General features: G+C 47.5%; 1 pseudogene, besides 2 other annotated features; it reads left to right on the top strand.

The window, feature by feature from the left end:
* Nucleotides 3,562–3,856: a silencer, noted in NCBI's record as "tiled region #10897; K562 Repressive non-DNase unmatched - State 22:ReprW". NCBI's record gives its function as "represses a minimal TATA promoter and a strong SV40 promoter by Sharpr-MPRA in K562 cells {active_cell/tissue: K562}" and the evidence as "EXISTENCE:reporter gene assay evidence [ECO:0000049][PMID:27701403]".
* Nucleotides 3,562–3,856: an enhancer, noted in NCBI's record as "tiled region #10897; HepG2 Activating DNase matched - State 8:EnhW". NCBI's record gives its function as "activates a minimal TATA promoter and a strong SV40 promoter by Sharpr-MPRA in HepG2 cells {active_cell/tissue: HepG2}" and the evidence as "EXISTENCE:reporter gene assay evidence [ECO:0000049][PMID:27701403]".
* On the top strand, nt 7,678–9,839 carry SHISA5P1 (SHISA5 pseudogene 1; annotated as a pseudogene).

The raw sequence follows: 20,761 nt of genomic DNA, 5'->3' as shown, positions 1-20,761 counted from the left end.
TGCAAATTTTATTTGAAGTGACCTAAAAAAGGGTTAGAAATGGCTGAAACCAGGCCGGCCGCGGTGGCTCACGCCTGCAATCCCAGCACTTTGGGAGGCCGAGGCGGGCGGATCACGAGGTCAGGAGACTGAGACCATCCTGGCTAACACCGTGACACCCCGTCTCTAAAAAAAATACAAAAATTAGCCTGGGCGACAGAGCAAGACTCCGCCCCCCCCCAAAAAAAAAAAAGAAAGAAATGGCTGAAACCAGGGAAATTTTTTTTTGCACGCTCCCTTTCTTAATGTTTCCAGGCATTTTAACTGTTCATATTGAAGCAAATGTACTTCCTGCAACACCGCCCCCTCCCTCCACTTCCACCCCCATTCCTGGAGGTAGCGCAGTGAACCAGAGCCTGGGAATTGCAATTCCTCTAACTACCAGTTCAGCTCCCTGCTTACAGGCACCAGGCAACTCCCTTGACAGTGCCCTGGCTTCCTTATCTATAAAGTTGGAATAAAAGTAGTCTCTGCCTCCAAGAGTGTTTGGGATTCAAGGGCTTGTGCATGAATTGAAAGTGCTCTGCGAGGCAGGGCGTGGTGGATAATGCCTGTAATCCCAGCACTTTGGGAGGCCTAGGCACGCGGGATCACTTGATTCCAGGAGTTACGGCTTGGTGGCGCGCGCCTGTAATCCCAGCTACTCCAGAGGCTGAGGTGGGAGAATCGCTTGAGTCCAGGAGGTGGAGTTTGCAGTGAGCTGAGATTGCGCCACTGCACTCCAGCCTGGGCGACAGAGTGAAACTCGTCTCAAAAAGAAGGCGGGGGTGGGGGGGAGGAGAGGTAGTGTTTAAGATCTTTTTTTTTTTTTTTAAGTGTTTTGCAGGGAGTAAGAGCTTAGTACCAAGTGGCTCTGGATCCACATAACACGTGTCTAGCTCCCCATCCTCTCAACTCCCTTAGTAGAGTAGGTTGCTCTGGGCACTGGGCTCCCACAGTCTCCACTGTTCAAACTTCCACTGTAATTCCGTGTGGTACTGCAGCTGTGTGTGAGCCCACAGAGGACAGGAAATTTGTCACACCTCTCTATGCAGAATGGAGACAGAGATAGACTGAAATCACATTATTGCGATGCACATAAATAATGTGCCCAAGTAACCTAAAACCTGGGACAAAGATAATTAGACTATTCCGAAGCTAGAAGAAAAGGAGTTGTAAAAGGGATTCCAAGAGATAGGTACCTTAAAGCCTTTAGTGAATTTCATGATTGTCAGTCATTTTTCTGCAAGGTCCAGGGGAAGGGCCTCCTGGGTCCAGCTGATCCATACTTTTCTTTAGGGTGGATTTGGAATAAAGTTCAAAGACATAGAACTTCCCTATAATAAGAAGGATAATTATAGGTGTGGAGGTAAATGCAGTTCCGTACTTACTCTCTCTGTTTTTTGTTTTTTGTTTTTGAGACGGAGTCTCGCTCTATCACCCAGGGGCTGGAGTGCCATGGCACGATCTCGGCTCACCGCAATCTCCGCCTCCTGGGTTCAAGCGATTCTCCTGCCCCAGCCTCCCGAGTAGCTGGGATTACAGGCATGCGCCACCACGCCCAGCTAATTTTCTATTTCTAGTAGAGACGGGGTTTCTCCGTGTTGGTCAGGCTGGTCTCGAACTCCCGATCTCAGGTGATCTGCCCGCCTCGGCCTCCCAAAGTGCTGGGATTACAGGCGTGAGCTACCACGCCTGGCCTTAGGCAATTATTATACTCTCAAACAGCAGATCCGGCCTGGAATCTGCTTTCCTTCCTCAAAGAAGACAAGATCAAAAACAAAATTGTATCAAAGGGCATCTTTTCTACCACTAAAATTGCTAAAAATATTTTCAAACAGCAAAGCTCAGTGCATTTCTGCCTTTGTTCATGCAAAGTGACCGAAGACTGAAGTCTTGGAAGTATAGTGAAGGGGGTTGGGTCATATGCCCTCAGGAGGCCGAGCTGCCTCTTAGGTAGTAGGGGCATTTTAAGCAATCACTCTCTCAGGTGATGCAGAACTTAAAGCCTAGCCTTACCTCACAGATAGGGCTGTGGGCTGCATAGCAGTCCTTTGTTGGAATTATATGCTCTGTACTTCAAACCAATTTACTCTCCCCTACACCTTCCTACTTACAGATTATTGCTGTTATTGTCCTACAGACCTTCTTTGATGTCTATTAGAGTTAATCATTTTTAAAGCTTTTAAAACTTTTTCAAGGTTTTTTTTGTTTGTTTGTTTTTTTGAGACAGAGTCTCGCTCTGTCACCCAGGCTGGAGTGCAGTGGCGCGATCTCGGCTCACTCCAAGTTCTGCCTCCCAGGTTCACACCATTCTCCTGCCTCAGCCTCCCAAGTAGCTGGGACTACAGGCGCCCACCACCACGCCCGGCTAATTTTTTGTATTTTTAGTAGAGACGGGTTTTCACCGTGTTAGCCAGGATGGTCTTGATCTCCTGATCTTGTGATCCGCCCACCTCGGCCTCCCAAAGTGCTGGTATTACAGGCGTGAGCCACCGCGCCTGGACCTTTTTCAAGGTTTTAACTTTGAATTATTTAAAGACTTTCTTTTTTTTTTTTTTTTTAAAGAGACAGGGTCTCAATCTGCTGTCCAGGCTGGACTGTAGTGCACTTATAGCTCTCTGCAGCCTCAAACTCATGAGCTAAAGTGGTCCTCCAGCCTCAGCCTCCTAACGTGCTGGGATTACAGGCATGGGCCACCACACTCAGCCCTTTAAAGATATCTTGCTATAACTGTCCAACCCAGTGTCCTCTCAAGAAATACAAACTGAGCACAGTGGTTCATGCCTGTAGTCCTAGCTACTTGGGAGGCTGAGGCTGGAGGATCTCTTTAGCTCAGGAGTTTGAGGCTGCAGAGAGCTATGAGTGCACTACAGTCCAGCCTGGACAGCAGATCGAGGCCCCATCTCTTAAATAAATAAAAATTAAAAAAAAAAAAAAAGAAGAAAGAAAGAAAAAGAAAAACTGGGCCAGGCTTGGTGGCTCACGCCTATAATCTCAGCTTTGGGAGGCCAAGGTGGGAGGATCCATTGAATCTAGAAGTTTGAGACCAGCTTGGGCAACATAGCAAGCTCCCATCTCTACAAAAAATAAAAAATTAGCCAGGTGTAGTGGCATGCACCTGTAGTCCCAGCTACTCAGGAGGCTAAGGCACAGGGTGAGACCCTGTCTCAAAAAAAAAAAAAAAAATTGCCAGGCGCGGTGGCTCACGCCTGCAATCCTACCACTTTGGGAGGCTGAGGCGGGCAGATCACCTGAGGTCAGGAGTTCAAGACCAGCCTGGCCAGCACGGCAAAACCCCGTCTCTACTAAAAATATTAAAAAAAATTAGCCGGGCATGTTGGCGGGCGCCTGTTATCCCAGCTACTCAGGAGGCTGAGCCAGGAGAATCGCTTGAACCTGGGGGGCGGAGGTTGCAGTGAGCCAAGATCACCCCACTTCACTCCAGCCTGGGCAACAAGAGCAAAACTCTATCTCAAAAAACAAACAAACAAACAAAATGGATCATTTGTCCCATAGAACTTTCCAACCTCTCCCCCTCTACCTCACCCTTTGTGTGTCTACCAGAGTTTTCTTCTTGAACACAGTCCTGTTGTGCCATTTCCCTGCTTGAAAACCTCTGACACCTCCCATGGCATTCAAGGTCATTGCAGACCTAGTGCCTATCCAGTCACGATGGCTCCTATCCTCCATGGTTCCCCACCCATCTTGTGCACTTTGCCCCCTTTTACCACCCCACCCCCAGGCTGCACTTTTTGCTCCTCTACTGGACTTCTCACTATTCTCTGAGCATGCTCAGCATCTCCCCACCTCTGCACCTTTGTTCACCACGTCCCTCCCGGCACCTGTGCTTCCACCTTCTAATCCCTGCATACACACTCACTCAGCCAATGACAGTTAATTTTAATGTGTCAACTTGGCTAGGCCACGGTACCCAGATATTTGGTCAAACATCAGTCTAGACGTCACTGTAAATATATTTTTTATTATTTTTTATTTTTTGAGATGGAATCTCGGTCTGTCGCCCAGGCTGGAGTGCAGTGGTGCAATCTTGGCTCACTGCAACGTCCACCTCCCGGGTTCAAGCGATTCTCCTGCCTCAGTCTCCCGAGTAGCTGGGATTACAGGTGTGCACCACCACACCGGCTAATTTTTTTATTTTTAGTAGAGATGGGGTTTCACCATGTTGGCCAGGCTGGTCTCGAACTCCTGACCTCAGGTGATCCACCCGCCTCAACCTCCCAAAGTGCTGGGATTATAGGCATAAGCCACCGCGCCCAGCCATGTAAAGGTATTTTTTAGATGAGACTGATATTTGAATCAGTAGACTGAATAAAGTGGGTTAGCCTCCATATTGCAGGCAGGCCTCATCCAGTCAGCTGATGGCTTTAAAACACTGAGGTCTCCCTAGGAAGAGGGAATTCTGCCTCCAGACTCCCTTTAGACTCAAGACTGCAACATCAACTTTTCCTTGGGTCTCCAGCCTGCAGCTTGTCCTAAAGATTTTGGACTTGCTAACCCCACTATCATGTAAGCCGATTCATTAAATACATACATACTCTCTCTCTTCTCTCTTTCTGTCTCTCTCTCTTTCTCTCTCTTTCTCGCTCTCTCTCTCTCCATACACACACACACATACCCATGCATCCTATTGGTTCTGTTTCTCTGGAAGACCTTGACTAATACAGTCTTTCCTGCTCTGTGCTCCCGTAACCCTCTTTCTATTTCTATCTTTGCCTGTCTTGTATGATATGTAATCAGACACAGGTCGGTTTTTTTTTGTTTTTTTTTTTGAGACAGTCTCACTCTGTCGCCCAGGCTGGAGTGCAGTGGTGCAATCTTGGTTCGCTGCGACCTTTGCCTGACGGGTTCAAGCAATTCTCCTGCCTCAGCCACCCGAGTAGCTGGGATTACAGGCGTGCACCACCACACCCGCCTGATTTTTGTATTCTTAGTAGAGATGGGATTTCACCATGTTGGCCAGGCTGGTCTCAAACTCCTGGCCCCTTGTGATCCTCCCGCCTCAGCCTCCCAAAGTGCTGAGATTACAGGCATGAGCCACTGCGCCTGGCCCACAGGTCAGTTTCCTCCACAGCTACACGTTTACTGAGGGCAGACCATTTCTCCTTGTCTGCACATCTCCATGGAGCCTAGTGCCTTTTTTTTTTTTTTTTTAAGAGACAGGATCTCACTCTGTCACCCATACCGGAGTTGCAGTGGCATGATCATAGCTCATTGCAGCCTGGAACTCCTGGACTCAAGTGATTCTCCTGCCTCAGTCTCCTGAGTAGCTAGGACCACAGAGGTGCACCACCGTGACTGGCTAGGTTTTTAAATTTTTTTTTGTAGAAACGGGGTCTCACTATGTTGCCTAGGCTGGTCTTGAACTCCTGGGCTCAAGCGATCCTCCCATCTCGGCCCCTCAAAGTGCTGGGATTATAGGCATGAACCACCTTGCCTGGCCTCTTAAAGGTCCTGCTCCACCAAGAAAGGAGACGGCCCAAAGCACAGGCAGGAGAACTAGGGAAATGGAGAGCTTGAACAGCATCAAGGGAGAAGGAGCCAACCCAGAAAGGAAACACATGGCAGGGGTTACCAATGCAGATGTCTCCAGGGCTGGGCAGGTCATGTGGATGGAGGAGGCAGCAGAGAACAGATGAGGGTGGGATGGGGTGATCGGCATGGGTGCCCCATGAAGGGCCAGCCCCTTATTTCCCTATGGGAATATAGGCACAGTGATGCCAGCTTTTTCAAGAGAGGCTGGAAATCCAGATTTTTGTGTGAAATGTCCCAATTTGTAACTGTTGGCAGCTAATTCTGATTATTTCAGTGTACTGTTTGTGTCTAGAAGGCTTCAGGGCTACTGGTACTGTTCTGTTTTTCAGCCGGGTTGATGGGTAGATGAGTGTTTGGTTTTCCTGTATTTTTCTTGCCTTATAGAAATATAAATATCAGCTGGGTGTGGTGGCTCACACCTGTAATCCCAGCACTTTGGGAGGCCAAGGTGGGTGGATCACCTGAGGTCAGGAGTTCAAGACCAGCCTGGCCAACATGGTGAAACCTCGTCTCTACTAAAAATCCAAAAATTAGCCACGTGTGCTGGCACATGCCTGTAATCCCAGCTACTTGGGAGACTGAGGCAGGAGAATTGCTTGAACCCCGGGTTGGGGGTGGAGGTTGCAGTGAGCCGAGATTGCGCCACTGCACTCCAGCATGGGTGAAAGAGCAAAACTCCATCTCAAAAAAAAAAAAAAGAAAGAAAGAAAAAGAAATATTATAAATATCATTTCTTATGTATTCAAAATTAAGTTGAGAACTCTTGAAACCCTTTCTGTGAGTTCAGTTTCGCTGGCAGACCACCCGTTTGCATCCCCGCTGTGCATTAGTTTGTTGTTTTGCATTGCTTGTTGATTAAATGAGGTTTGTGGCTGTACACCTTCACTTGAATATTAATCAGTTAAGTGTTACTTTGTGCTGAAAATAGAAAAAGTCAGCGATGCTGTTTCTTCTACAAGAATTGTTCTGTGAAAGGAAAAATGTTGCAGCTCACCAACTGCCACCCACTCTTTCCTCTCTGGAATATTTTTGAACCTATCATGTGTTACCTTTCACACAACTTGATATTGAATATAAGAAGAAATATTAATCATTTTGCATAAACCAGAGTCTGGCTTCAAACATATACATGATTTTGATAAAGTCTGTGTGTGTGTATATGAAGGCACAATTTGCATCTCAGAATCTAAGAGACATCTAAATACTGGCATCAAGGATATATAGCTGTCTTTGGTTCCAAAGTTGTCCAGCATATATTTTGAATGAAGCAACCATGAGTCACTTGCAGCCTGGAACAAGTTACTTCACCATTCTGTGCCTCAATTTCCTCACTTACAAGTTTCTAGGCTGGGTGCGGTGGCTCACACCTGTAATCCCAGCACTTTGGGAGGCTGAGGTGGGAGGATCACTTGAGCCTGGGAGTTCGAGCGGGCAACAAAGTGAGACCTCATCTCTATAAAAAATAATAATAATAAAATAAATAAATAAATAAAATACATTTCTACATATGGGTGATACATTATTTTATCTAGGTGGCAGAAGTAAACCACGGAAGAGGAAAGTACCAAATCAAATCAAATTATTTTACTTATTCAAGAGATGTTTATTGGATAAGTGTGGTGGCTTACGCCTATAATCCCAGCACTTTGGGAGGCTGAGGCAGGTGGATCACCTGAGGCCAGGAGTTTGAGACCAGCCTGGCCAACATGGTGAAACCCCATCTCTACTAAAACTACAAAAAGTATTAGCTGGGTGTGGTGGCATGCACCTGTAATCCCAGGTACTCGGGAGGCTAAGGCAGGGGAATCGCTTGAACCCGGGAGGTGGAGGTGGCAGTGAGCCAAGATTGCGCCACTGCACTCCAGCTTGGGTGACAGAGTAAGACTCCATCTCAAAAAAAAAAAAAAAAAAAAGAGACGTTTATTGAACACCATGCTAAGTAAGGGCTCTGGGGAAGACAAAGAAGTTTAGGACATGGCCTCTGCTGTCATGGAATTGGAGACACAAGACACATGCACAAAAAGATTGTGACACAACATGAGGCAGTATGTAGTGCCAGTCATCTAGACTGTGAGCTCCTCTACGGTGGGGCCTGCATTCTATTCATCTTTGTAAATGTGGAACAAATGAATGAATAGTACCAAAAGCACAGTAGCTGTTCTAAGGAGAAAAATGCCATCATGGACTCGAAAGTTCATGAAGTGGTCCTTCCTGTGGCTGACATCATCGGGAGATTTGCTTTCCTTTTCTCCGAAAGGAGAGGAAATTGGAACTGAGTGGCCCATGATGGAAAGGGGAAGTCTAGGGGAACAGGAAGCCCCTGGGTGAAGGCAGAGGCTAACATGGGGTTCAGAGCGACCGTGGCCGTCGGCCTGACCATCTTTGTGCTGTCTGTCGTCACTATCATCATCTGCTTCACCTGCTCCTGCTGCTCCCTCTACAAGATGTGCCGCTGACCATGTCCAGTTGTGAGCACCACCACGCCCACCACTGTGGTGCATGCCCCTTACCCTCAGCCTCCAAGTGTGCCACCTAGCTACCCTGGACTACCAGGGCTACCACCCCATGCCCCCCCCAAGCCAGGAATGCCAGCAGCATCCTACCCAGTGCAGTACCCATCACCTTACCCGGCCCAGCCCATGGGCCCGCCGGCCTACTTCGAGACCCTGGCTGGAGGAGCAGCCACGCCCTACCCCACCAGCCAGCCTCCTTCCAACCCAGACTACATGGATGCCCCGAAGGCGGCCCCCTGAGCATGCCCTGGCCTCTCTGGCTGCCACTTGGTCATGTCATGTGTGTGTGAGTGGTGTGCAGGCACGGTTCCTTATGCCCCGTGTGTGCTATGTGTGTCCTGTCTGTATACGTGGCTTCCTCTGATGCCGACTAGGTGGGGAGTGATCCTTGCCAGCAGAGTGGGTTGGGACCAGACTTTGTTATCTTCCTCACCTGAAATTATGCTTCCTAAAATCTCAAGCCAAACTCGAAGAATGGGGTGGTGGGGGCACCCTGGGAGGTGGCCCCTGAGAGGTGGAGGGCTCTCCAGGGCACATCTGGAGTTCTTTTCCAGCTTCCCCTAGGGTGACGGAGTGTGGCCTGTCACACTAGGATGGCGCAGCTTTCTGTGAGTATGATACAGATGTGTCCTGATTTCAGCAGCGTAGCCAGCTGCCACTTGAGGCCATGGCTTGTCCCCAGAGTTGGGGGTACCCTTCGCAGAGCCAGAGACATAATGTAGGTAAAGCTTGGGATCTGACCAAATTGGGCTTTGATCCTTTGGGCCGATGTCCCATTGCTCCCTGGAGCCTGTGTCATGCCCATTGGGGGTCAGGCAGCCTCCTGATGCCAGAACACCTCAGGCAGAGCCCTACTCATCTGAGAGCTGTCTGCCTGGACTGTTCCTGTCCCTGCATCCTCCCTGGGACCACTTGGAGGACCACATCCACACCCAGCCTAGCTGCCCACAGGGAGCTCTCCTGCCCTTGCTGGCCCTGCCCTTCCCACAGGTGAGCAGGGCGGCCTGTCCACCAGCACACTCAAGCCTCTTCCCTGCAGTGTTTTCATTTTATTTTAGCCAAACATTTTGCCTATTTTCTGTTTTTGTTTTTGAGACAGAGTCGCTGTGTTGCCCAGGCTGGAGTGCAGTGGCATGATCTCGGCTCACCGCAACCTCTGCCTCCCAGGTTCAAGTGATCCTCCTGCCTCAGCCCCCCTAGTAGCTGGGATTACAGGCATGTGCCACCATGCCCGGCTAATTTTTTTTTTAGTAGAGATGGGGTTTTGCCATGATGGCCAAGCTGGTCTCGAACTCCTGACCTCAGGTGATCCACCCACCTCGGCCTCCCAAAGTGGTGGGACTACAGGCATGTTTTCTGTTTTAAAACATGATAGTTGATGTGAGACTGAAACCCCTGGGTTGTGGAGGGAAATTGGCCCGGAGGAGAGGAATAACCTGGCTAATGTGAGAGTTCCTGCTTCCCCTGACACCGGCTTCATGGAATATGCAACTCCTGTACCCCAGTCCAATGTGTTCTGGCAGCAGGGACACCTGGGCCAAGGGGCTGTCTGGACCAAAGGTGGGGTGTGGGGCCCTGGATGGCAGCTCTGGCCCAGACATCAATACCTCGGTGTTCCCCGTCCCTCTGTTACTGTTTCACCAGAGCTGTCTCATGGAGGGAAAATTGACAAGACAAGGTCCTGATTAGAGATGGGGCTGGAAAGCATTCTCAGGTTTTGAGGCTCAAGTATTTACTGCAATGAAAATGTAAGGGCCGGGCGCGGTGTCTCATGCCTGTAATCCCAGCACTTTGGGAGGCCAAGGCAGGAGGATCACCTGAGGTCAGGAGTTCGAGACCAGCCTGACCAACATGGTGAAACCCCATCTCTACTAAAAATACAAAAATTAGCCAGACGTGGTGGCAGGCGCCTGTAATTCCAGCTACTAGAGAGGCTGAGGAAGGAGAATTGCTTGAACCTCGGAGTTGGAGGTTGCAGTGAGCTGAGATCACACCATTGCACTCCAGCCTGAGCAACAAGAGCAAAACTCCATCTCAAAAAAAAAAAAAATTAGTATGAGCGCGGTGGCTCACGCCTGTAACCCCTGTCTCTAACTAAAAACACCAAAATTAGCCGGCCGACCATGGTGGTGTGCACCTGTAGTCCTAGCTACTGGGGAGGCTGCAGCAGGAGAATCGCTTGAACCCAAGAGGCAGAGGTTGCAATGCTGGATATTGTACCACTGCACTCCAGCCTGGGCTACAGAGTGAGACTCCAACTCAAAACAAACAAAAAAAGAAAAGAAAAAAGAAAGAAAGAAAGAAAAAAATTTAATCAGTCCTATATAAGCAAGATCAGGCCTTACACTTCAAAAAATTCTTGGTGGAGAACTGCAACCTGAAACCAATGGTTCAATCCCCTTCTTGCTGCTGGATCCCTTCGTTCCTCCCAAATGTGTCATCAGACACACTTTTCTAGTTACCTGGGCAGAGAGGATCCTTCTCTACTTGGAATATAGGCCACTGGATAATAAATCTTATCTTGCCTTCCTCGAAGAGTCAGTGCAAAAATGAGGCAGCTTGTCATGTGAGGCAAGTCCTTTAAGCTTCTCAGATGAACGTTGCTATATTAGGACCGAGGACTGTTATGCAATAAGACCTATCTACACCTTTCCTTGATGCCTGAGCTTCACAGCAAAGACCACTTGTTGAACTAACAGTTGTCATTGTATTTTTGAAAAATGATCATTTATAGGGGTGAATCCGCCATAAATTTCACAAGATCTCAGTTTAGATATTAGCCATTTTGGCATTTTGGAAAAGAATCTTGCAGAAAATGAACCAGTGGTAATCATGATGAAAATAATGGCTGGAAATGTTTTTATAGAATATACTATAACCTGTATATAGCAAGAATAATACTAAGATTTCAACTGGTTTGTAACTGACAAGCAAGGAGTGGCCTTCGCCACTTCCCTGGCCAGAGCATGTGCTCTGCCTTGAGGTCCCACAGCCTGCTTTCCATCCCTTACCACACTTCCACGGAAGGCATGTGCTCAGAAGTCTCTGTCCCGGCCAGGTGCCATGGCTCACACCTGTAATCCCACCACTTTGGGAGGCCAAGTCAGGTGGATCACCTGAGGTCAGGAGTTCGAGACCAGCCTGGCCAACATGGTGAAACCCCATCTCTACTAAAAATACAAAAATTAGCCAGGCGTGGTGGTGGGGGCCTGTAGTTCCAGCTACACGGGAGGCTGAGGCAGGAGAATCACTTGAACCTGGGAGGCGGAGGTTGCAGTGAGCCGAAATTGTGCCACTGCACTCTATCTGTGTGACAGAGTGAGACTCTATCTCAAAAAAAAAAAATGTCTCTGTCTCCACTAGACTGTGAACACTTAAAGGCAACTGTATTTTATTCATTTTCAGATCACTAGCACCTGGGACTGAACCTGGAACATAGTAGGTACTCAATAAACATTGACTGAATGGGTAGATGAAATTTGTACATGCCCTTACTTGGCATGGATGACAGGGCAGGCCAGGAGATGATAATAATTATTATTATTTTTGTAATTTTCATTTTTATTATTTTGACATAGGGTCTCGCTGTCACTCCAGGCTGGAGTGCAGTGGCATGATCCCAGCTCACTGCAGCCTCCAACTCCTGGCCTCAAGCGATCCTTCCACCCCACCCTCCCAAGTAGCTGGGACCACAGGCACATGCTACCATAGATGGCTAATTTTTTTTTTTTTTTGTATTTTTTGTAGAGACGGGGTTTCGCCATGTTGCCCAAACTGGCCTGGAACTCCTGGACTCAAGCAATCTACCTGCCTCGGTCTCCCAAAGTGCTGAGATTACAGGCCTGAGCCACTGAACCCGGCCTGAGATCATTATTATTTTTTAACCTTTAAGGAGAAACCACATCAAAATTAAAAATTACTCTGCCAAAGACCCTGTTAAGAGGATGAAAAGACAAAGACTGGGAGAAAATATTTGCAAATCACATATCTGACAAAGGACTAGCATCTGGAGTATATAAAGAACTTGCAAAACTTATCAGTAATATTAGCCAGGCATGGTGGTGCATGCCTGTAATCCCAGCTACTTGGGAAACTGAGGCAGGAGAATGGCGTGAACCCAGGAGGCAGAGGTTGCAGTGAGCCGAGATCGCACCATTGCACTCCAGCCTGGGCAACAAGAGCAAAACTCCGTCTCAGAAAAAAAAAAAAAGAAAAGAAAAACTTATTGGTAATAAACAGTCCAATTAGAAAAAGGGCAAAAGACATAAACAGATATTTCCCTGAAGAGGATATACAGATGGCAATTAAGCATGTGAAAAGATGCTCACTGTCATTAGTCATTAGGGAAGTGCAAATTAAAACCACAATGAATCTCTATCACCACACACCTATCAGAATGGCAAAAATAAAAAATAGTGACATCAAATGCTGGAGACGCAGAGAAACTGGATCACTTGTAGATTGCTGGTGGGAATGTAAAATGGTACAACCATTCTGGAAATAGTTTGGCAGTTTCTTTCTTTATTTTTTTTTATTTATTTTTGAGATGGAGTCTCGCTCACCACAACCTCTGCCTCCCAGGTTCAAGTAATTCCCCTGCCTCAGCCTCCCTAGTAGCTGAAATTACAGGCTTGTGCCACCACACCTGGCTAATTTTTGTATTTTTAATACAGACAGGGTTTCGCCATGTTGGCCAGGCTGGTCTCGAACTCCTGACCTCAAGGTCTCGAACTCCTGACCTCGGCCTCCAAAAGTGCTGGGATTACAGGCATGAGCCACTGCGCCGGGCCTATTTATGTACCTATCTATCTATCTATCTATCTACTACCGTGTTGCCCAGGCTGCTCTTGAAGTCCTGGCCTAAAGCCATCCTTCTGCCTCAGCCTCCCAAAATACTGGGATTACAAGTGTGAGCCATGGCAGTTCCTTTTAAAACTAAAAACGGATTTACCATACAACCCCGCACTTGCATTTTTGGCCATTTATACCAGAGAAATGAAAGCTTATTTTTATACAGAAACTTCTACACAAATGCTCACAGCAGCTTTGTGATAGCCAAAGCCTAGAAACTATCCAAACGTTGCTCAATGGATGAATGGTTAACCAAACTCTGATACAGCCATACCATGGAGTACTACTCAGCAGTGAAAAAGAAATGAGCTATTGATAGAACAATATGGACGGATCCCCAGGGAATTATGTTGAGTGGAAAAAAAAACAGCCTCAAAAGGGTACATGTCACATGATTCCATTTATATCACATTCATTGAATAACATAATTCTAGAGATGGAGAACAGTTTAGTGTGGCCTGGGATTAGGGATGGGGGAGGAGGAGGGGAGTGGATGTGGCTATGAAGGGACAGCCCAAGGGAGCTTTGTGGTGATGGTAGAGTTAAGCATCTTGATGTGGTGCAACCTACATGTGATAAAATTGCATAGGGACACACACACACACACACGAATGAGCTCCTGTAAAACTGGCAAAATCTGAATAAGTTCTGTGGATTGTACCAATGGCAATTTCCTGGTTTTGATTTTGTACTATAGTTATGCAACTTCCTGTGAATCTAGAATTATTTCGAAATTAAATAGTTTAAAAAAGAAACTAGTCAGTATTTCTGACTCCCAACTTTGTTTTTTCTTTATGCACACTGTCTGTTTTTTTTTTTTTTTGAGACGGAGTCTCACTGTGTTGTCCAGGCTGGAGTGCAATGGCTTAATCTCAGCTCACTGCAACCTCTGCCTCCTGGGTTCAAGCAATTCTCCTGCCTCAGCCTCCCGAGTAGCTGGGATTATAGGCACCCACCAGCACGCCCAGCTAATTTTTGTATTTTTAGTAGAGACAGGGTTTCACCATGTTGGCCAGGCTGGTCTTGAACTCCTGACCTCAAGTGATCCACCCATCTCGGTCTCCCAAAGTGCTGGGATTACAGGGGTGAGTCACCGCGCCCAGCCCACACTGTCTCTCTCTCTCTCTCTTTTTTTTTTTTTTTGAGACGGAGTTTCACTCTTGTTGCCCAGGCTGGAGTGCAATGGCACAATCTCAGCTCACTGCAACCTCGGCCTCCTGGGTTCAAGCAATTCTCCTGCTTCAGCCTCCTGAGTAGCTGGGATTACAGGCGTGCACCACCACGCCCGGCTAATTTTGTATTTTTAGTAGAGAAGAGGTTTCTCTATGTTGGTCAGGCTGGTCTCGAACTCCCGACCTCAGGTGATCCACCCGCCTCAGCCTCCCAAAGTGCTGGGATTACAGGCATGAGCCACCGCGCCTGGCCACACTGTCTCTTTTAAAACTGTTTCTTACATCATGATGTGTGAGAACTTCGCAGCCATTAAAATATATGTAGAGCTTCAAATGTGCCTTTAAAGTTTGAATCTTTTGTGATTGTTTCATGGTGGTAATACTGGGAACGTATTTCTTTTAAAGGCCCAATACAGGTTCCTTCCCCTTCCTTCCTGGGCATGGAAATCATCATTGCCTTCCTCCTTGGTAAAACTCTTCTGACAAATGTTGGAGTAAAGTGTTTTCTTTTTCTGTTTCTTTTTCTTTTTCTTTTCTTTTCTTTTCTTTTTTTTAAGTCTAGTCAAGTGAAGCAGTGGGAGTGGAGAAGGAACAAAGAAATCTGTAAGTAGTTGTGATCAGCTAGTTGTAAACACCACTGCAGTCAGACCAGCCAGGGGTGAAGTGTTTTCTGAGGATCCTGGAAGATTAATATAGTGTCTAGAAACATAAACCAGTTGGCATTGTACATGCTAGAACATTCTTTTTTCTTGTTGTTGTCGTTGAGACAAGTCTTGCTCTGTCACCCAGGCTGGAGTGCAGTGGTGCAATCATAGCTCCCTGCAGCCTCAACCTCCTGGGCTCAAGCGATCCTCCTGCCTCAGCCTCCAGAGTAGCTGGGACTACAGGCGTGAGCCACTGCACCCATGCTAGAGTATCCTTTTTACTGTTTTCCCCAAAGTTTTATTGGCCAATTATGCTCTTTCATTCACCTACCTTTAATAGCAGGAAAGCCTCCTTACTTGGTAGTTAATTAATGATCACAAGCTCCTTGTATGCTTGCTTTCTTTTTTTTTTTCTTTGAGACAGAGTCTTGCTCTATTGTCCAGGCTGGAGTGCAGTGATGCAATCTCCAGATGCAATCACTGCAACCTCCACCTCCCAAGTTCAAGCGATTCTCCTGCCTCAGCCTCCCTAGTAGCTGGGACCACAGGTGTGCACCACCACGCTCAGCTAATTTTTGTTGTTGTTGTTGTTCTTGTTTTTGAGACAGAGCTTCACTCTGTTGCCCAGGCTGGAGTGCAGTGGCGTGAGCTTGGCTCACTGCAACCTCTGCCTCCCGGGTTCAAGCAATTCTCCTGCCTCAGCCTCCCGAGCAGCTGGGACTACAGGCACGCACCACCACGCCCAACTAATTTTTGTATTTTTAGTGGAGATGAGGTTTCACCATATTGGCCAGGCTGGTCTCGAACTCCTGACCTCGTGATCCTCTTGCCTTGGCCTCCCAAAGTGCTGGGATTACAGGCGTGAGCCACCTCGCCTGGCCTAATTTTTTTTTTTTTTTTTTTGTATTTTTAGTAGAGACGGGGTTGCACTATATTGGCCAGGCTGGTCCTGAACTGGTGACCTCAGGTGATCCGCCCACCTCGGCCTCCCAAAGTGCTGGGATTACAGGCGTGAGCTACCAAGCCCGGCCCTTGTATTATTTCTTGACCTCATCACAAGGACAAGTGATGAAGATTCTCCCAGGTCCTCCAATCTGAGGTGACCCTCTACTGGGTTGGCTGGGGAAGCTGAGAGAAAAGAAAGGCAAGTCCCGTTAGGGGAACTGTTTCTCCAGAAAGACCTGGGAGAGAGCGGCGTCGGGGTGGAATCAGGGCCTTCCTTGTTCTGTGGACCGGCCCCACCTCGGCTCCTGCTTTCCCTGTTGCCATTATTGCCTCTGGCCCCACAGCCCAGTGCTGCTGGGGAAGGACTGGAATGAGGTGATCCGTTTCTCGCGCTGCTGCCCGCTGGCTTCTCTGGCTGTCACAGATGGACTCCCAGTCAACTTTGTCAATTCTGAGTTCCTCCCTGTGGGAGGCCCCTGGGCAGCACTGACAAGAGAGTTTATGCCATACAGGAATTTGCACAAAGCCTCAGAAAACCAAAGGATTTGTCGCATCCTGTGAGACTAAGCCAGTCAAAGATCTGAGATGGTTGATGTTAACATACAGGGTGTCTGTGAAGTCTGGAAATGCACATACTATTACTATTTTTGTTGTTGTTTTTTGTTTTTGTTTTTTGAGACTGAGTGTTGCTCTGTTGCCCAGCCTGGAGTGCAAGGGTGCCACCCCTGCTCACTGCAAACTGCAAACTCTGCCTCCTGGGTTCAAGCGATTCTTGTGCCTCAGCCTCCTGAAGTAGCTGGGATTACAGGCGCCTGCCACCACACCCGGCTAATTTTCGTATTTTTTGGAGACAAGGTTTCATCATGTTGGCCAGGCTGGTCTCGAACTCCTGACCTCAAGTGATCTCCCCGCCTTGGCCTCCCAAATTGCTGGGATTACAGGTGCGAGCCACTGCACCCGGCCCACTATTTATTTTCTGAAGATGTTCTTGATGACATTCTACATTTTTGCCTGTTTCCAGACTGCATGGACACCCCGTATAGTTAGCTAGGGTGTAACTCGATTACTACATGAATGGAGCTGTTTTCAGTCTTGCTATTTATAGGATCCCTGTGGGTTACCTGACTCCAAGCTACTCAGTTTCAGGACTTCTAAGTCATAGATTCATTCATTAGGCAAACATTTTTGAGTGCCATCTGTGCCTCATGACAGCATTGCAGGTAGGTGGAGGAAAGCAACTGCTGTTGATTATCAACCCCATAGGGAGCACTGACCCCCAGACAAATTCTGTGTCTTATTTTTATTCTTGCTGTTGTGCTTTTTTTTTTTTCTTTTTGAGACGGAGTTTCACTTTTGTTGCCCAGGCTGGAGTGCAGTGCTGTGATCTCCAACCTCCGCCTCCCAGGTTCAAGTGATTATGCTGCCTCAGCCTCCCAAGTAGCTGCAATTACAGGCATGTGCCACCATGCCCAGCTAATTTTTTTTTTTTTTTTGTATTTTTAGTAGAGATGGAATTTCACCATGTTGGTCAGGTTGGTCTCGAACTCCTGACATCAAGTGATCCACCCACCTCAGCCTCCTAAAGTGTTAGGATTACAGGCGTGAGCCATGAGCCACTGCGCCCGGACATTGCTGTTGTGTTTTTAAGACACAGGGTCTCTCTATGTTGCCCAGGCTGGTCTTGAGATCTCAGGTTCCAGGGACCCTCCTGCCTCAGCTTCCCAAGTAGCTGGGATTACAGACATGAGACACCTCCCCTGGCTTCAAACTCTGGGTCTTATCAGTTCGTCTAACATAATCACATGCTTCATTCTTCTGACAGGGAGGAATTAGTGAAACTCCATCACCTCAGTGGCTGTGTTACCATGACTGACTGAATTTGTGTAATTGTTCAACCATGAGTCTACCAGCCTTGTCATAAGAAACAACAACAACCCACTGACAACTCATCTGGAAAATCACTGCTCTGTTCAAGTCATTTACACAGCACAAGAAATCTCCGGCAATGTGCCCAGAAGGTCTTTCGTTACCCAATTCCTTAAGCTAGTCTCTGAAAAACAGACACCTGCCCTGCTCTATGTCTCTAGAAGCAACTGGTTCTTAGAAGACACGATAGAGGCTGGGCACGGTGGCTCACGCCTGTAATCCCAGCACTTTGGGAGGCCGAGGCAAGCGGATCATTTGAGGTCAGGAGTTCAAAACCAGCCTGGCCAACATGGTGAAACCCCATCTCTACTAAAAATACAAAAATTAGCTGGGCATGGTGGTGGGCATCTGTAATCCCAGCTACTCAGGAGGTGGGGAGCCCGGGAGGTGGAGGTTGCAGTGAGCAGAGATCGCACCATTGTACTCCAGCCTGGGCAACAGAGTGAGACTCTCTCAAAAAAAAAAAAAAAAAAGACATGATACAGAAACATAAGAGATTTTCACTATAGAGATAGGAAACAATTTTTCAGTCAGCTCTGGATCATTGGCCCAGAATTACCTCCAGGTTCCACCAAGGCTGCCCCACCAGACTGCTACAAGTAGCTAATGTTACCTTGGTTACTTTCCAGGATGAACCTCACTCAAGAGCTCGTGGTCTTTATGACTTATTTCTTTTTCTTAATTATAATCTCTAGACTTCTAACCTAGCAAAGGTCCTGTGAGTAAGATTTAAGGAGAAACTAATTGAGGTCTGAAGGCTGAGTGTGCTAGGAGATTCTTTTTTTTTTTTTTTTCTTGCTCTTTTCTTTTTTTTTCTTGCTCTGTCACACTGGCTGGAGTGCAATGGCAGGATCACATTTCACTGCAGCCTCAACCTCCCAGGCTCAGGTGATCCTCCCACCTCAGCCTCCTGAGTGGCTGGGACCACAGGTGCCTGCCACCATGCCCAGCTAATTTTAAAATTTTTTTGTAGAGATAGGGTCTCCTTATGCTGCCCAGGGTGGTTTCGAACTCCTGGGCTCAAGTGATCCTCCCACTTCTGCATTCCAAAGTGCTGGGATTACAGGTGTGAGCCACTGCATCTGGCATGCTGGGAGATTCTTAATGTTCCCTCCCACTAAGCAGGTTGGGGTGGGTCAACACATCTTCATGGGAGTAGATGGAACTGAAATGCTGGTGAGCTTGGTAGGAAAGCAAGTTTAGGGCTTAACTCGAGTTCCAGTTAGCTATCGCTGTGTAAAAGCCACCTCCAAAATTCAGTGGCTTCGAATGACTATTTTATATATTTATTTTTTTATTTGTTTTTTATTTTTGAGACGGAGTCTCACTCTGTCTCCCAAGCTAGAGTGCAGTGATGCAATCTCGGCTCACTGCAACCTCCGCCTCCCGGGTTCCAGCGATTCTCCTGCCTCAGCCCCCTGAGTAGCTGGGACTACAGGCACGTACCACAAAGCCCCGCTAAATTTTGTATTTTTTAGTAGAGACAGGGTTTCACTACATTACCCAGGCTGGTCTCGAACTCCTGACCTTGTGATCCGCCTGCTTCGGCCTCCCAAAGTGCTGGGATTACAGGCGTGAGCCACCGCACCCAGCCTATTTATTATTCTTCACAGTTCTCGGGGATAACGGGCTCAGCTGCGAAGTTCTTCCTTGAGCATCTGAATTTGGTTGTGGTCAGATGGTGGATAAAGCTGGACTTATCTGAATCTTCTTTCGTCACATGTCTGGAGTGTCTGGAGTGGCTGGAAAACAGCTTCCTCACAAGGTAACCGTCAGAGTAGTCGGGCTTCCCTAAGCCAGCATAGCAGCTGGCTTCCCCTAGAGCGAATGATGTTCTAGGAGATCTGGGTGGTAGCTACAAGACTTCTTAGGACCTAGCCTTAGAAGTCATGCAGTATCAGTCCAAGAGATTCTCTTAGCCAAAAAGCAAGTCCCAGGGTCAGCCAGCATCCAAAGGAATGAATAGCAGTCCATTGCGGGGTGGCCATCTTTAGAGATTAGCTCCTATAGTCTAGTACTACAGAGCAGACACGCCCTAAGTTTCAAACGCCAGGCATTAAAGCAGGTCTCAAATATGAATGGCTGGATACACACAGTGCCTTCTAGCCCTTCCTCAACACTCTAGGTAAGGCACCCAAGCTCTCAGGAGTGCTCATAGAACCATTCTTCATGCTTTGGGCACTGGCGGGCCTGAACCTTCCTTACCTTCACCATTCTCTCTGCTCACCGCCATCTTTCACCACTCAGGGCACAGTAATTAACCTTAGACAGTCTTCTTTCACTCGTGTCCACCTTCACCATTTTTTTTTCTTTTTGAGACGGAGTCTCACTCTGTTGCCCAGGCTGGAGTGCAGTGGTGCGATCTTCGCTCACTGCAACCTCTGCCTCCTGCGTTCAAGCGATTCTCCTGCTTCAGCCTCCCAAGTAGCTGGGATTACAGGTGCCCGCCACCATGCCCGGCTAACGTTTTTGTATTTTTAGTAGAGACGGGTTTCCACCATGTTGACCAGGCTGGTCTCAAACTCCTGACCTCAGGTGATCTGCCTGCCTCTGCCTTCCAAAGTGCTGGGATTATAGGCGTGAGCCACCGCACCTGACCACTTTCACCTTTTATCTTTATCTTCTATGGCTTCTTTCCAACAGTACTTGGTAAATTTTTAAAAATGTTTAATTTTACCTCAGTAAAATCTCTCCTGCTTTTAACTCCAAAACCCTACCCTCCGATCACTGCTGGTGTTAAACCAAAGTGGTTTTAGTTATACAGCGGTATTTTAAAAAGAAAGGCCATAAATTGTAAATAAAATTAGACAAAAAGAGCCAATGATTTCAAGCCCTACATTTTGAAAGTTACCGGAAGTACCTGATCAAAATCTTCCCAAAAGTTAACGGCTTCTTCCTTCCTTTTCTATGAGGTCTGGTTTCTATAAGCACTAGTGTTTCAGATAAATAAAAACTCTTGGCCAGGCACAGTAACTCATGTCTGTAATCCCAGCACTTTGGGAGGCTGAGGTGGACGGATCACTTGAGGTCAGGAGTTCGAGACAAGCCTGGCCAACATGGTGAAACCCCGTCTCTACTAAAAATACAAAAAAATTAGCTGGATATGGTGGCATATGCCTGTAATCCCAGCTATTCG

Source organism: Homo sapiens, chromosome X (assembly GCF_000001405.40).
Source record: "Homo sapiens chromosome X, GRCh38.p14 Primary Assembly".
In the NCBI taxonomy this organism is placed as follows: Eukaryota; Metazoa; Chordata; class Mammalia; order Primates; family Hominidae; genus Homo; species Homo sapiens.
This window is presented reverse-complemented; position numbering and strand designations above follow the sequence as displayed.